Genomic DNA, 16,467 nt, shown 5'->3' with positions numbered 1-16,467 from the left:
ATAGGCAGAGCACAGAGGATTTTTAGGGCAGTGAAACTACTCTGTGTGAAACTGTAATGGAAGACAATTGTCATACATTTGTCAAAATCCGTAGAGCTATACAATATATAGCTTGAACCCTAATGTAAACTATGGACTTTAGTAAATGATAAGGTATCAATATTGGTTCATCAATTATAACAAATATAACATATTGCAAGTTGTTAATAGGGAAGCTGGGGGAAGGAGGGGAATAGAAGGGGTAAATGGAAACTGTACGTTCCGCTTAATTTTTTTGAAAACATAAACTACTCTAAAAAATAAAGTCTATCAATTTTTTAAAAATAGGGTATCACATCCAGAAAATTTACTTTTAATAGGTAAAGTGAGTCAAAAGATGTAGACACAGATTTATTCCCATCCATAATCAAAGAAATAAACATTCAAGTTAAAGAAGGGTGCCATTTTTTTTTTTTTTTTTTTTTGCCTATAAAAATGGCAAACATTAACAGGAATGAGGCTCCTAGGATTGTCTTGGTTTGGAGACAATAAACCCTCTGGTACATAGCCTGTAGAACTCCCTATGAGAACAGGGCTTCTGTGTGGTAATTTGTCAAAATGTATCAAATTACTAAAAAGAAATATCTAGCCTTTGACCTAATGATCACAAATCTGTGCACTTATATCAAGGAGATAGATAAATTAGTAAAGATATATGTACAGTGTTACCACAGTTTGTTTAAAAACAACAACAAAATTTAAAAGTCCAAAAGAGGGAATTGATTAAATGTATTTTGTGCATACACATAAAATATTTATAATTGTGGACATTTATACTAATAACATGGAAAGGCATTGGTTATATTGTATTTAGGAAGAAAAGTAAGTTAGAGAGCCTGATACTGTTTTAAATAATATACACGCATATGGAAATGTCTGGAAGACCAAATACTAGTAATGGCTGTGACAGGACAGTAGAATATCTGTGACTTATTATTTTTCCCTTTTATTCATATTTCATTTACATTTTTCATTTAATGTTAATTCATTGCTTACATAAATTTTAAAATATATAAACCCTTTATAAAAAGAAAGGTGATAATTCCAACTACATACAATATTAGCGCTTTTTAGCTTTGAAAGTGACCTCAGTGATTGTTTATTATATATATCCCCATTATTTAACAAATCAAGAATTGGGTGCTTATGCATATGTTCATTGCAGCACTGTTCACAACAGCAAAGACCTGGAATCAACCAAATGCCCATCAATGATAGACTGGATAAGGAAAATGTGGTACATATACACCATGGAATACTATGCAGCCATAAAAAGGAATGAGATCATATCCTTTGCAGGGACATGGATGGAGCTGGAAACCATTATCCTCAGCAAACTAACTCAGGAACAGAAAACCAAACACCACATGTTCTCACTTATAAGTGGGAGCTGAACAATGAGAACACATGGACACAGGGTAAAGAGCAACAACACTAGGGTCTGTTGGGGGAGGCGGGGTGGAAAGGGTAGGGAGAGCACCAGGAAAATTAGCTAATGCATGCTGGGCTTAATACCTAGGTGATGGGTTGATAGGTGCAGCAAACCACCATGGCACATGTTTACCTAGGTAACAAACCTGCACATCCTGCGTATGTACCCCAGAACTAAAAATAAAATAAAATAAAATTGGATGCTTAATATGGTAAAGAGAATTTTCCCAAACTGAATTACATGGAAGGCTGAGACAACAACTAATGTCTTGTGCACTCAATCCACAGTTCTCTTTCACTGAACAGAGGCAAACTCCAAATAAACCTTTTAGTGGAAATGCCTAAAATATTATTGTATTTCTGCATGTGTATATTCATGAGACATAAACATACAATTTTTTTTGCATAACTTTATGTTTTCTAAAAATTTAGGTCTCCTGTATCTCAATTCTTAATTTTCTTCCATTGGAGTGGCAATCCCAAACAGTCCTTCTTAGGAATAAGTAAAATGACAAAATATGTGTGTTTATCTGTGAAACACAACCATGCAAATCTACTTGCACAATTGTTTTTGTTTTTATAAATTTGGTGTGACATAATTTCAACCATAAATCCGTAAAATTTTTAGTAAAATTGAGATGTTTTCTATTTTCTTTCAAGTAAAAACAATTCAGATCTACTATCAGCTACTTTGACCTCTGGAATGATCAATACTTAAAAGACTGTATCTACATCCAGTAAATTGTTGCTGAGAAAATAGTTATTGTTGAAAATTAGAGACATTTCTCTGAATTCTATGTACATATGATGAAGTTCCTTGGTGATTCATTGCTTAGTGAAATAGGTAGATGGACTGAGGGTAAGGACTAAGCTAAGAATTATACTAAAATTGGTAATGTTTTTCCTTGTACAGATTGGTCAGATTTCTTAATCGTTCTACCTGAGATAGTTTTATCATAGAAGTAGAAATCACCATCAACTGACTACTTTTTGAAGAAACATAAAATGCTCTATAACTTTTGCTTTATTGAAATAGAATTATAAGGTTAAATTTAATTATGAGAATTAAAATAATACTTCTTGTATTAAAATTTCAAACTAAATTATATACATTTTAAAGTCATCATAATGTTTTATTCATTATATTGAAAATCAAAAAAGGCAGATTTTCAAATCATCTCTGTTAAAATATTTTCTCTGTGGATGCTACTAATTTCCCACAAGTAGTCACTTAGAATTTCCCCCAAATTCTTAAGTTGCCCCCAAATACTTAAGTTTCATTTGAATTGTAATCGCTTCCAAATATTAGCATTTGTATCAGAAAAAAATTACTGCTTCCTTAAAGCAAATATAGTCTGAGTTCTTTTTAATAATAGCAATAGTGCCCTCAAGAGCATCATATTTCAAAATATTTAGGTGTTTAATGTGATATAAACTGAATATCCAGGTGATATATTAAGTCGTTTCAATTGACATTTTAGGGATTCTGGTATCCTATGTTTATATATATATATACTTTTGTGTGTGTGTATATATATATATATATATATATATACTTTTGTATAAATATATATATACTTTTGTATAAATATATATATATACTTTTGTATAAATATATATACTCGTATAAAATGTAAACGTCCTTTGTTTATATTATATATATGCACTTATACGAAAGTATATACATTTAGGTCTCCTGTATCTCAATTCTTATTTTTCTTCCATTGGAGTGGCAATCCCAAACAGTCCTTCTTAGGAATAAACAAAATGACAAAGTATGTGTGTATATCTGTGAAACACAACCATGCAAATCTACTTGCACAATTGTTTTTGTTTTTATAAATTTGATGTGACATAATTTCAACCATAAATCCTGTAAGATTGTTAGCAAAATTGAGATGTTTTCTATTTTCTTTCAAGTAAAAACAATTCAGATCTACTATCAGCTACTTTGATCTCTACAATGATCAATATTTAAAAGACTGAGTGATAAGTGCATGGTCGCTCATTAAACTTTATATATATAGTTTAAATGTATGTAGTTTATAAATAAATAAATATAAATATATATATATATATATATATATATATATATATATATATATATATATATATTTTCCCAGGCAAATAGGGCTGGCCTCTAGAGTATTTGGGAAACAAATGGTAAAAATGGTGTAATCCTATGCATTTATGTTGGTCTTTGTATGTCTACACATGTGTATATATGTGTCTATGCACATTTTTTAGCACTGGCTCTGTAAGACATAAAATTCACTATCAAAAAAATGTTAAATTACATCAATTTAGATCTGACAGTTTTACAAAAGCATATTTTAAGTTCATATAAGTGCATTGTTTTAAGGTACAGGCTGATGTCTGTACAAGTTGCTGATGTGTCAGCAACAAGTTGTTGCTATGACCTTAGGCCTGATCATTTTAGTTCTGTCACGGATGAGCTTCAACTGTGTTTCTTAGTCCCAACTGGCTTAGGAAGACATCCATCAGCAGGATTTTCTTTCTCATTTAAGAAGAATCCATAATGTTAGCCTGAATCATCTTTGAAATGCCTGTCCTTGAGCATGTTTCAACACGATGTTGTTCTTTGCATATATTTACCTGTTATATTCATCATGTATAACATTCATCATTTTTAAAGGCAGACTCATTTTCTGGGAAATGGCTGAATGGAGGTTGATGCATTCATTGATTAATTCATTCATTTAGCAAACGCCATTGAATACCTGCTATGTAATAGACATGCCATTGACTACAAAAAAAAAAAAAAAAAAATGACCAAATTGGTAACCAACTGCCACATGCTCCAAATTAAAAGAAAGCTGGAGCTTGTGGCAGTATAGATGGAACAAATTTGGCAACTGTTGTTGATGATTGTTAAGTTTGAGTGATAAGAGCATGGCAGCTCATTAAACTAGTCTCTCTTTTTGAAAAACATGTTTGAAATTTTTCATAATAGAGATGCGGTTTTTCTTTGTTATTGTTATGGGCCCTTTATCAGGGTTTATTCTATTCATTTGGAGATACGCATTTCATTTCCCTAGAAAGATACCAATGGAGTTTGGATTATTTTTCCTTCAGATCCTTTTCTTTCTGAAATTGTCAAACTCATTATTCACAATTTAATCATTTCTCTCAGCATCAATTTCTAAAGTTCTCTTCTCTGAAAAGGAAAAATACAATAGTATCCACTCAGAGTACTTGTCTCCAGATTTGGGGTTCAAAGTAGGCTTAGGAACCCAGCTGTGTTGAGCTCTTCTATGGAATCACCTCATTCTTTCCTTATCCCCCAGGCTATTAAATTTTGTCACTTGATCATGGCCCTTTCCTTCATTGATTGGTGCCATTAATTGTGTTGCCATATTTTCCTGTTTTTTTGTTTTTTTATAGTGTGAGGAAAGGAGGTTATGAATTGCACCTTTATTTATTATGTCACATCAAGCTTTATTTTTTATTTTTTTAAAGACTCAAAAGAAAAGAAAAAAGTTATCCAAAACTTAAACAGCAATGAGAATATTACAAAACTTTGATAGAATCAGAATTGCAGTTAATGCTCATTTCAATTGCATTTAAGTTTGCAAATATTAGTAACCTACTGTTTTTATAACTGCTTTACGAGGAACTTTTCTAATAGCTTAGAAAGAGTCAGCTTTCCTTCTGCTTTTCTCCTATGCAAAGTTGTATCCCATGTTAGAAATATCTACATTTATGCCTTTTTTTCTCCTATTACTCTTTAATAATATTCTACTGCTATAGAGTGAACATAGTAAAACAATTGAATCCAATATTTTAGTTTGTTTTTTATTTTAACTTTAATATTTTAATATTTTGATTTTTTATGTTATTTTATTTTTATTGTTTCTTATTTTTATTTTTAATTTCAATACGTTTTTGGGAAACAGGTGTGTTTGGTTACATGAATAAGTTCTTTAATGGTGATTTCTGAGATATTGGTGCACCTATCACCTGTGCAGTGACTACACATTGGGTATAGTATAATGTTTATTTTTAATTGACCAATAATAATTATATATATATTTTGGGGATACAATGTGATGTTTTAATATATGTGTACATTATAGAATAATTATATCAAGCTAATTAACATACCATTACTTCACATTTTTATCATTTTTTGTAGTGAAACCCTTAAGAATCTATTCTTTTAGCAATTTTGAAATACACAATACATTAATATTGACAATGGTTACCTTGCTGTGCAATAGATCTTGAAATTTATTTCCTCCTTTCTAACTGGAACTCTGTATTGTTCGATCAACTTCTCTGCTTTCCCCCACTCTCATCTCCCCCCATACTCTGGTACCCATCATTCTACTCTCTACTTCTATAAAGTCAACTTTAAAAAATTCTGTATACAAATAAGATCATGCAGTATTTGTCTTTCTGTGCCTGACTTTATTTTACTTAATGTAATACACTCCAATTTCATTCATGTTGTCACAAATGACAGAATTACCTGTTTTTAAAGGCTGAATACTATTTCCTTGCGTATATATTCACATTTTCTTTATCTATTTATCTACTGATGGACACTTAAGTTGATTCCGTCTCTTGGAATTGACTGTGACTAGTGCTGCAAGAAACATGAGAGTACAGATATCTCTTTGACGTAGTCATTTCAATACTTTTGCATAATTAAAAAATAATAATGGGCAGGTTCTTCAAATGAATATTGGGAATTCTTTAGAAAATAAAAGATCTAGCTGCAGACTGGGAAAAAATATTTGTGGAATATATATCTAATAAAGGATTGATACCTAGAATATTGAAAAATTTCTCTAAAGTCAGTAATAAGAAAACAATTTTTTTAAACTCCCATTTTCTAAAAAGGTGGGCAATATATTTGCAGAGCTATTTTGACAAAATGGTATAAGGGAAATTTTTTGGATGATGATACTGTTTTATATCTTTTAAAATTTTATTTAAATGTATTTTTTATATTTTTACATATGTTTATGGGGTCCATGAGAAATTTCGTTGCATACATAATATATATAATTATCAAGTCAGAGTAATTTGTAATACTCCATCACCTAAGTATTTATTATTTTTATATGTTGGATACATTTCAAGACCTCTCTTCTAGCTATTTTGAAATATACAATATATGGTTGTATCTACAGTCACCCTACTCTGCTATCAAACATTAGAACTTATTTCTTCTATCTAACTGCATGTTTGTACCCATTAACCAACCTCTGTTTATCCCCTTCTGCCTCCCATACACCTTTCTCAGCTTCTGGTATCTATTATTTTACTCTACCTCCATGTGATCAACTTTTTTAGCTCTCACATATGGGAATGAGAAAATGCAATATTTGTCTTTCTATGCATGGCTTATTTCTCGTAACCTCCAGTTTTCATCCATGTTGCTGCAAATGACATGATTTCATTCATTTTATGGCCAAATACTATACCATTGCATATATACCACATTTTCTTTATCCATTTATCTTTATCCATTCAAGTGTTGATGGACATTTAAATTGATATTGATTTTATATCTTTACTATTGTGAGTAGTGTTGCAATAAACATGGGAGTTTGGGTATCTATTTGATATATTAGTTTCTTTTTCTTTGGACGTACTCTTAGTGGGATTGCTAGATTGTATGGTACTTCTATTTTTAGTTCTTTGAGAAATCTTCATACTATTTTTCATAATGCTATATTAGTTTGCATTTCCACTAATAGTGTATAAGAGTCCAATTTTCTGTCATGCTCACTGATGTGGTTTGGCTGTGTTCCCACTCAAATTTCATCTTGAATTCCCACATGTTGTGGGAGGTACCCCGTGGGAGGTGGTTGAATCATGGGGACAGGACTTTCCTGCAGTGTTCTCATGATGGTGAATAAGTCTTGCAAGATCTGATGGTTTTAAAAAGGGAAGTTTCTCTGTACAGGCTCTCTTTTTTCCTGCTGCCATCCACATAAGATGTGACTTGCTCCTCCTTGCCTTCTTCCATGATTGTGAGGCCTCCCCAATTATGTGGAACTGTTAATCCAATAAACCTCTTTCTTTTGTAAATTGCCCAGTCTCAGGAATGTCTTTATCAGCAGCATGACAATGGACTAATATGGTAAATTGGTAACAGTAGAGTGGGGTACTGCTGAAAAGAAACCCAAAAACATGGAAGCAACTTTGAAACTGGGTAACAGGCAGAGATTGGAACAGTTTGGAGGGCTCAGAAGAAGACAGGAAAATGTGGGACAGTTTAGAGCTCCCTCGAGACTTCTTGAATGGCTTTGACCAAAATGCTGATAATAATATGGACAATGAAATCCAGGCTGAGGTGGTCTCAGATGGAGATGAGGAACTTGTTGAAAACTGGAGCAAAGGTGACTCTTGTTATGCTTTAGCAAAGAGACTGATGGCATTGTGCCCCTGTCCTAGAGATTTGTGGAACATCAAACTTGAGAGAGATGATTTAGGATATCTGGCAGAAGACATTTCTAAGCAGCAGAGCATTCAAGAGATGACTTGGGTGCTGTTAAAGGCATTCAGTTTTAAAAGAGAAACAGGACATAAAGTTTGGAAAATTTGCAGCCTGACAATGCAACAGAAAAGAAAATCCCATTTTCTGAAGAGAAATTCAAGCTGGCTACAGAAATTTGCATAAGTAATGAGAAGCTGAATGTTAATCACTAAGACAATGGGAAAAATGTCTCCAGGCCATGTCAGAGACCTTTGCAGCAGCCCCTCCCATCACAGGCCCGGAGGTTTAGGGGGAAAAAATAGTTTTGTGGGCCGGGCCCAGGGTTTCTCTGCTGTGTACAGTCTAGGGACTTGATGCTCTGTGTCCCAGCTGCTCTAGCTGTGACTAACAGGGGTCAAGATAGAGCTTGGGCTGCAGTTTTGGATGATACAAGCCCCAAGTCTTGGTAGCTTCCACATGGTGTTGAGCCTGTGGGTGCACAGAAGTCAAGAACTGAGGTTTGGGAACCTTCACCTAGATTTCAGAGGATGTATGGAAATGCTTGGATGCCCAGGCAGAAGTTTGCTGCAGTGGCAGGGCCCTCATGGAGACCCTCTTCTAGGGCAATGCAGAAGGGAAATGTGGGGTCAGAGCCCCCACACAGAGTCTCTACTGGGGCACTGCCTAGTGGAGTTGTGAGAAGAGGGCCACTGTTCTCCAGATTCCAGAATGGTAGATCTGACAGCTTACACCGTGTGCCTGGAAAAGCTGCAGATACTCAATGCCAGACCATGAAAGCAGCTTGGAGGGAGACTGTACCCTGCAAAGCCATAGAGGTGGAGCTGCCCAAGACCATGAGAACTCACCTCTTACATCAGCATGACCTGGATGTGAGACATGAAGTCAAAGGAGATCATTTTAGAGCTTAAAGATTTGACAGCCCTGCTAGATTTTGGACTTGCGTGGGGCCTGTACCCCTTTTGTTTTGATCAATTTCTCCAAATTGGCATATTTACCCAATGCCTGTACCCCCTTTGTATCTAGGAAGTAACTAACTCACTTCTGATTTTACAGGCTTATAGGTGAACAGGACTTGCCTTTTCTCAGATAAGACTTTGGACTATGGACTTTTGAGTTTATGCTGAAATGAGTTAGGACTTTGGGGGACTGTTGGGAAGGCATGATTGCTTTTGAAATGTGAGGACATGAGATTTGGGAGGCGCTGGGGCAGAATTATGTGGTTTGGCTCTGTCCCTGCCCAAATCTCTTGAATTCCCACATGTTGTGGGATGGAACCAGTGGGAAGTGGTTGAATCATGGGGGCAGGTCTTTTCTGTTGTGTTCTCATGATGGTGAATAAGTCTCATGGGAGCTGATGATTTTAGAAAAGGGAGTTTCTTTGCGCAGGCTCTCTTTTTGCCTGCTGCCATCCACATAAGATGTGACCTGTTCCTCCTTGCCTTCGGCCATGATTGTGAGGCCTCCCCAGCCATGTAGAACTTTAAGTCCAATAAATCTCTTTCTTTTGTAAATTGCCTAGTCTTGAGTATGTCTTTACAGCAGCATGAAAACAGACTAATACTCTCAACAACATCTGTTATTTTTTGTCTTTTTAATAATAGCTATTCTAAATGGGGCAAGATGATATCTCAGTTTTGATTTGCATTTCCCCGATGATTAATGATGTTGTGTGTTCTTCATATACCTGTTGCTCATTTATATGTCTCTTTTGAAAGATATCAATTCGTGTTCTTTGCTCACTTTTTAATGGGGCTATTTGTCTTTCATCTGTTGAGTTTCCTGTATATTCAGGATTTTACTCCCCTATTAGATGAATAGTTTGGAAATATTTTCTTCCATTCAACAGGTTGCTTCTTCACTCTGTTCATTGTTTCTTTTTGCTGTGCAGAAGCTTTTTAGTTTGACAGAGTCCCGTTTGTCTATTTTTCTTTTTGTTGCCTGCGCTTTTCTGTCTTAACCATAAAATAGTTGCCTAGAGCAATATCCTGATGCATTTCACTGATTTTTTTCCAGTTGTCTTATAGTTTTGTATCTTACATTCAAGTTTTTAATCCGCCTTGAGTTGATTGTTGTATATGGTCACAGACAAGAATCTAGTTTCATTCTTCTGCATATAACTGTCTAGTTATTATAGCACTGTTTATTGAACAAGGTATCCTTTCCCTCATGTGTGTTCTTGACAGCTTTACCAAAGATCAGTTGGCTATCAATATGTAGATTTATTCCTGGGTTCTCTATTCTGTTCCATTGGTCCATATATCTATTTTTATAGAAATACCATGCTGTTTTATTACAGTGACCTTATAATATATTTTGAATTCAAGTTATATTATACCTCCAACTTTATTCTTTTTGTTCAAGAATGCTTTGTCATTTTGGATTCTTTCTTGATTCCACATGAATTGTATGATTGTTTTTTCTATTTCTGTGAAAAGTGACACATTATTTTGATAGACATTTCATTGAATCTGTTGATTGCTTTGGGTAGTAATCATTCTACATCTTGAAATTGTGGTGGTCATTACATGACTATATGTTCAACAGAGTATATAGAATTGTTTATATGAAAATAGTGAATTTTGCTGAACATAAATTTTCACAATTTTTAACAACTGAAGGAAAAAATAGGTGTTTTCAGAAAAAAGATTTGAAAGATTAAAATATCACAATATTTAAACTAAATTATTAACACTGTAATATATATATGTGGTGCATTTTTTACTGAAATGTTACTATGCATCAGATGACTATACCATGATGGTGAGGATTGTTGTTTATGATGTTTGCTGAGGTAACTCTAGTGACAAAAATCGTACCTAGCACATAATAGGCTTTAAAATTATTTGTTTAATTAATAATTTACTAAATCTTCAATTTTTGCAAAACTTATTGCTCTCATACTATGTAGACATGCTGGATTAGTAGTATAATAAAAAAGACAATGATTTATCTTGTGTTGAGCAGAACTTATGGCAAACTTTTGCTATATTCTTTTGAAAATTATTTGCAGAAATAGCCAATGATGTTAATGCTTTTAGATATAAAGTTTAACAAAAAAAATTAATTTGATGCCCTTTACATAATACTGAAACTCCTTTATAAAGATGATAGTTTTTTTTTTTTGAAATGGAGTCTCACTCTGTTGCCCAGTCTGGAGTGCAGTGGCGTGATCTCGGCTCACTGCAACCTCCGCCTCCCAGGTTCAGGCAATTCTCCTGTCTCAGCCTCCTGAGTAGCTGGGACTACAGTTGCATGCCACCATGCCTGGCTAATTTTTGTATTTTCAGTAGAGGCGGGGTTTCACCATATTGGTCAGGCTGGTCTCGAACTCCTGACCTCAGTTGATCCACACATCTCGGCCTCCCAAAGTGCTGGGATTACAGGTGTGAATAAATATGATTCTTAATATTAATATGTTTACATTTATATAAACCTATTTTCCACTCTTTCATAGGGACATATCTATCGAATATCTATCATAACTATGTGGCTTTTTATTCTGTTATAGCTAACTTTTTCACAGACTGTAATTCCATACCATCAGTGCTAGAACGTATCTGCTGTTTTCACTAATAATGATTTTCTTATTATTACATCTAATTAAGTATAATTTCATCCCATAAAGATGAACCAAGTAAGTCTTCTTGTAGCCAGTACAAAATAAGGGAAGTACAGCGACAAGAAAGAGAGAATTAGTAGAAATTTATTTAGTAGAAATAATGAAGGACCACAGTGTAGGACTTTTAGGATCTTATTTTCATAAAGATATAACCACTACTTTGAAGATATGATAGATGGAAGCCTGGCTAATATTTAGAGAAACTACATTCAGTAGTTGATTATATCTTGAGAAGTAGTCTTAACACAGTGCTTAAAAGACAAGATGCTATAGATAAGCTTGAAGTACTGATAACCTGAATAGGAGTAAAACCGCATACACGCTGTGAAATAGCAAGCATTACAAAACGTGGCTGACCTTTCTTATGCCTTAAGATAGCAATTTGTGGTAACAGAGAAATGATGATGGAACATCGAGTAATACTATTTTCAACAAAATTGTAGGCTCTACAAAATCAGACACCTTATAATATTTGGGAAGACTAAATGGTTAGCATATGTAAAGTAATGTGCTACAATATCTTTCCAAGGTTAAGCACTTAGCAGTTTGCTGCTATTATTATCATCATTTTGATATCCCCTACACAGCATGTAGACTTTTGCTGAGTGCATAGAAAATGCTCAGCAAAATAATTTTAAGTTGAATTGCAACAATTGAAATAGTGATTATTTTCTTGCAAAAGAATAGCCCCTCCCAAGAAACTAGAAACAACAATAATTATCATGCCAAAGGCAAGGAAAACTATCATGTGAAAATAGAACTTGTAGCTTATGTTTAGAGGACATTATCTACCATAATTCATATGACTTTTAAAATGTGGATAATATACATAAAATGATAAAAAAGTCAAAAGAAAGTTGAAAAATTACTAATTCTTTTTTCATGCATTCATGTGTGTATTTTCACTTTGTCTTACCATAGTGTTTTTAAACACGAAGTTTTAATTTTAAATAGTGATTTTTTTAAAGGCAAATACAGAAATTCAACGATATAGTACAAAAGAAATTATAGGAAAAAACGATCCTTAATTTCCCTTTAATTGAAACACCTTCTGTTTAGTCTATTTTTCTATTAAGATTACAGAACAAAATTACCATAACTGAGAAAGTGAATGTTGACTTTGCCGTTTTCATCTCTAGGTATCTACAGAGGGCAGCAAAGAGCTTCAGTTCAAAGACTAGCAGGTCGGGTTAGTAAGTTTCAATCGCTGCTTTCTGATTCCGCATCATTTGAAGCACTGCAAAGTGTCAAAAACAAGGTTCAGTTTGCTAAACTTATGCGATTGTTTGTTGCCATATGTGGAACAGAGTGAGGGGGACACATGGATCAGATCAACTATTTAGCTGCAATCAAGAAAAGATTTCAAATTAGTACATTGAGTGTGTCATTTTACTAAAACTAACCCAAAGCTTGATACAACAGTGATTTTTTTAAAAAATTATTTTACTAAGATATTACAAAATAAATTGTCAAGTTCTCCCAAACTCAGATCACGGTGTTTTATAAAATTATAAACTGGTAACTATTAATGAGTAGTGGGCAAAGGCAAATTCTATAATGATCTAAGGTGAGCTTGGTTTTAGGTGTTTTCTTATTAATGTATCTATATATCTCTGATTCTACAATTTCATTCATCAATTTTTATGATAATAAAATCCAAAATATATCCAAGAGGCCACTAGTACACCTGTATTCACTGAAGTAATTCATTGTTCCAGAGAGTGTTCTCATTCTGAGATGGAGTTGACCTTGTATGAGTTTCTTAAGATATGCCATTGTGAAAAAGAAGAGAAGAAATACTGTGCAGAGGGAAAGGTGAAACTGCAGTGCAGGCCTAATTCAACAGGATGCTTGGGACCTAGAATGGTCCTTGAGTCCTCCTAAATCAGGCTGAGAGGGTGAGGTCTTTATACTCCCACCTTGTCAGTAAGTGGATGTGGGCAATACCAGGAAGGGGACTGACTGTAAGCAAGGCAGCTGGGGCAATCCTGACGAGGCAGCAGGTCCTTCCTTAAAGGTATATTCGAGTGGGCATCATGATGTCCACCACATGCATATGCAATATGAAGTAATCAAAGTGCCTTATGCTAACACAGAAGGGGTGACATTTTCATTTACTTAGCAAGCTTTGTTATCTTTTACAATATTAATTCATTAACATGTTTAACAGGAAACTATTATATTAGCAGGTCTGTGTTAGCTCCTTCAATTTCTTGTCTTTAACAGGTGAGAGAGGTAACAAATGAAAATACTGAGGTTAATGCCCCATGCAAGGTTTGTATTAAGAAAAATAAATCACTGAAACACAAAACAAAATGACTAGGGAAATGCTTAATTGTACAGTCATGTGCTGCATGATGATGTTTCAGTCAACAATGGACCACATGTAGGACAGTGGTCTCATAAGATTATAATAGTGTATCTTTTCTATGTTTAGATATATTCGAATACACAAATACTTATTGTGTTACAATAGCCTACTATTCAGTACAGTAACATGCTGTACAAATTTGTAGCTTAGGAGCAATAGGCTATCCTACATAGCCTAGGTATGTAGTAGGCTACACCATCTATGTTTATGTAAGTACGCTCTATGTAAGTATACTACGGTGAAATTGCCTGAGGATGCATTTCTCAGAACTATCCTTGTCATTAAATGACACATGACTGCACTTAGAAGAGCAGTTTACAACACCTTCAGGCATTCATTTTTCAAAGAACCAATTTAGATAGGGACAACTGATGTTTTAATTTGAAACCATTGTAATCTCATTTAGGGAAATCCTTAGAAAACCAGTACTAAAGCAAGATGGGAAGGGGGCAACAGAGAGGTTGTTTTGTTTAAAAATAAACTGAATTGCCTTTTAGTATTATAAAAGAAATATGTACTCATTAGAGATATATGGACAAATAAAGAAATATAAAGAAGAAAATTGAAAATTACCTATAATCTCCACATCTATCAACACAGAGAAAATCAGTCAGTGTTTTTTCTTCTAATCATTTTTCTTTTGGACATATATAAAATTTTGATTCAGATTTTCTCATTTATAGATTGTTTTCTCTATTTCATTGAAAAATATTCAAATGAAAGCATGTATCTTCTGCAGCTTGTTCTGCTTGATGTACACAGCATTTAATGAGCACCATTACAAGTAATGGTATCAATAGCTGAACTATGGTGCATATTTCAGACAACTTCTTTGGACGAAACTAAACAAAATGGAATTACTTGGCCCAAGAGCACTAACATTTAGGTTCTTGATATATTGCCACATTGGAGTCCAAAATAGTGTGCATCAACTTAGATTGCCACAGACAGTATTTATATCTTTTCCAATAGTTCTTGCAAGATTTGAAAAGGAAGATAATATTTCACTGTTGTCTAATTATTTACTTTTTTGTTGTCTAATTAATTACTTTTTTGAAAGTAAACATTTTGTATTCAGTTATATATTTTTTCTACAAAATGTCTACCTAGAGAATGAGTGTTTTTTTAATAATTTATTTCTTTTTTTAAAAAATTTAAATTTTTTTATTAATATAGAGATGGGGGTCTTGTTATGGTGACCAGGCTGATTTAAGATCCTCCCACCTTGGCCTCCCAAAGTGCTGGGATTATAGGTATGAGCCACTGCACCCAGCTTAAAAAAAAATTGATTGCCAAGTTCTCTTTACACATGAAGGGTATACGTTTCTTTAATACATTAAAGGTATTTTGTTGTAATTTTTTTCCCCAGTTTGTCATGTTCTCATCACTTTTGATTACCTTCCGAACCACACATTTGTGTATGTGTGAATTCAGACGTGCAAATAATTTTCTTTGTGGTTTCTTCCCTTTTATGCTTCTAAAGTATTTTCCTAGCGATCTTATATACATATATCCATTTAAATTTATTATAGTAATCTTAAAAAATACTCATCTATATTTTGTTTCATTATTTAGCAGAAGACAAGGATATAAATAGATGATTCTTTTTCAATTAATTAATTACCCCAAATTATTTATTGGAGAGGTATTCAAACTTTTTGGAGCACAACCCACAGTAAGAGAAAAAATAAATTTTACATCACAATCTAGAACACGCTGACACACGTGAACACTTATATACATACCTATAACTGAAATGAAAGTGTCTAAAATAATTTTTATCCTCAGTATTATGTGATGAATTCTAATATTTTCTATTATATTATATTCCTTTCCTTTCCATCCCATTCCGTTTCAAATAAAAAAAAACTGCCTGTGGTTCACAAAATTGATCTAACAATTTATTAATGGTTCTTTCTGGAAAATATGACACACTGAATTCTTCTCTGGTGATCTGTACCTTATCTTATTTTGAGTTCTGATATTCTGGTATATGTTAAGGAACTGTAAATTCTGTTCCATTAGTATTGATTTCTAAGTACTATTATAATGTTTTAATGACTTCAGCTTTATAATATGGTAGAATGTTCTATAGAACAGGTCCCTTCCTCATCACTCTAAATTTTAAGATTTATCAGAGCTAGTCTTCCATATTTATTTTTGTTGGTTAGTGTAATCATTTTGTCACATTTTATTTTATAAAGAAAACTCGGCACTAGACACAGTGGCTTACACCTGAAATTCCAGTACTTTGGGAGGCCAAGGCTGGAGGATCACTTAAGGACAGGAGTTCAAGACCAGTCTGGGAAACAAAGTGAGACCCCATCTCTGCAAAAATTAAAAATAAAAAAGTAAGCTGGGTGTGGAGTCGTGTGCCTGCAGTCTCAGCTACTTGGGAGGATGAAGTGGAAGGATCACTTGAGCCCAGGAGTTTGAGTTTGCAGTGAGTTATGATCGTGCCATTGCACTCCAGCCTAGGTGATAGAGGAAGACCTTATCATCAGAAGTAAAAAAAAAAATGCAATTATAATAGTA

At 33.7% G+C, this 16,467-nt stretch overlaps 1 protein-coding gene and 1 long non-coding RNA gene across 13 annotated transcripts in view; one reads left to right on the top strand and one right to left on the bottom strand.

The window, feature by feature from the left end:
* The window catches only part of MAGI2 (membrane associated guanylate kinase, WW and PDZ domain containing 2), a 1,436,613-nt gene that overhangs the window by 263,891 nt on the left and 1,156,255 nt on the right, over nt 1–16,467 (top strand). The window lies entirely within an intron of this gene.
* The window catches only part of LOC105375366 (uncharacterized), a 37,408-nt gene continuing 33,521 nt past the window's right edge, over nt 12,581–16,467 (bottom strand). Inside the window, exon 3 of the long non-coding RNA XR_927698.3 lies at nt 12,581–12,798. This is a non-coding gene — a long non-coding RNA (uncharacterized LOC105375366). The remainder of the gene's footprint in view (nt 12,799–16,467) is intronic.

The sequence above is a fragment of the Homo sapiens genome, chromosome 7 (genome assembly GCF_000001405.40).
Source record: "Homo sapiens chromosome 7, GRCh38.p14 Primary Assembly".
Classification (NCBI taxonomy): Eukaryota; Metazoa; Chordata; class Mammalia; order Primates; family Hominidae; genus Homo; species Homo sapiens.
This window is presented reverse-complemented; position numbering and strand designations above follow the sequence as displayed.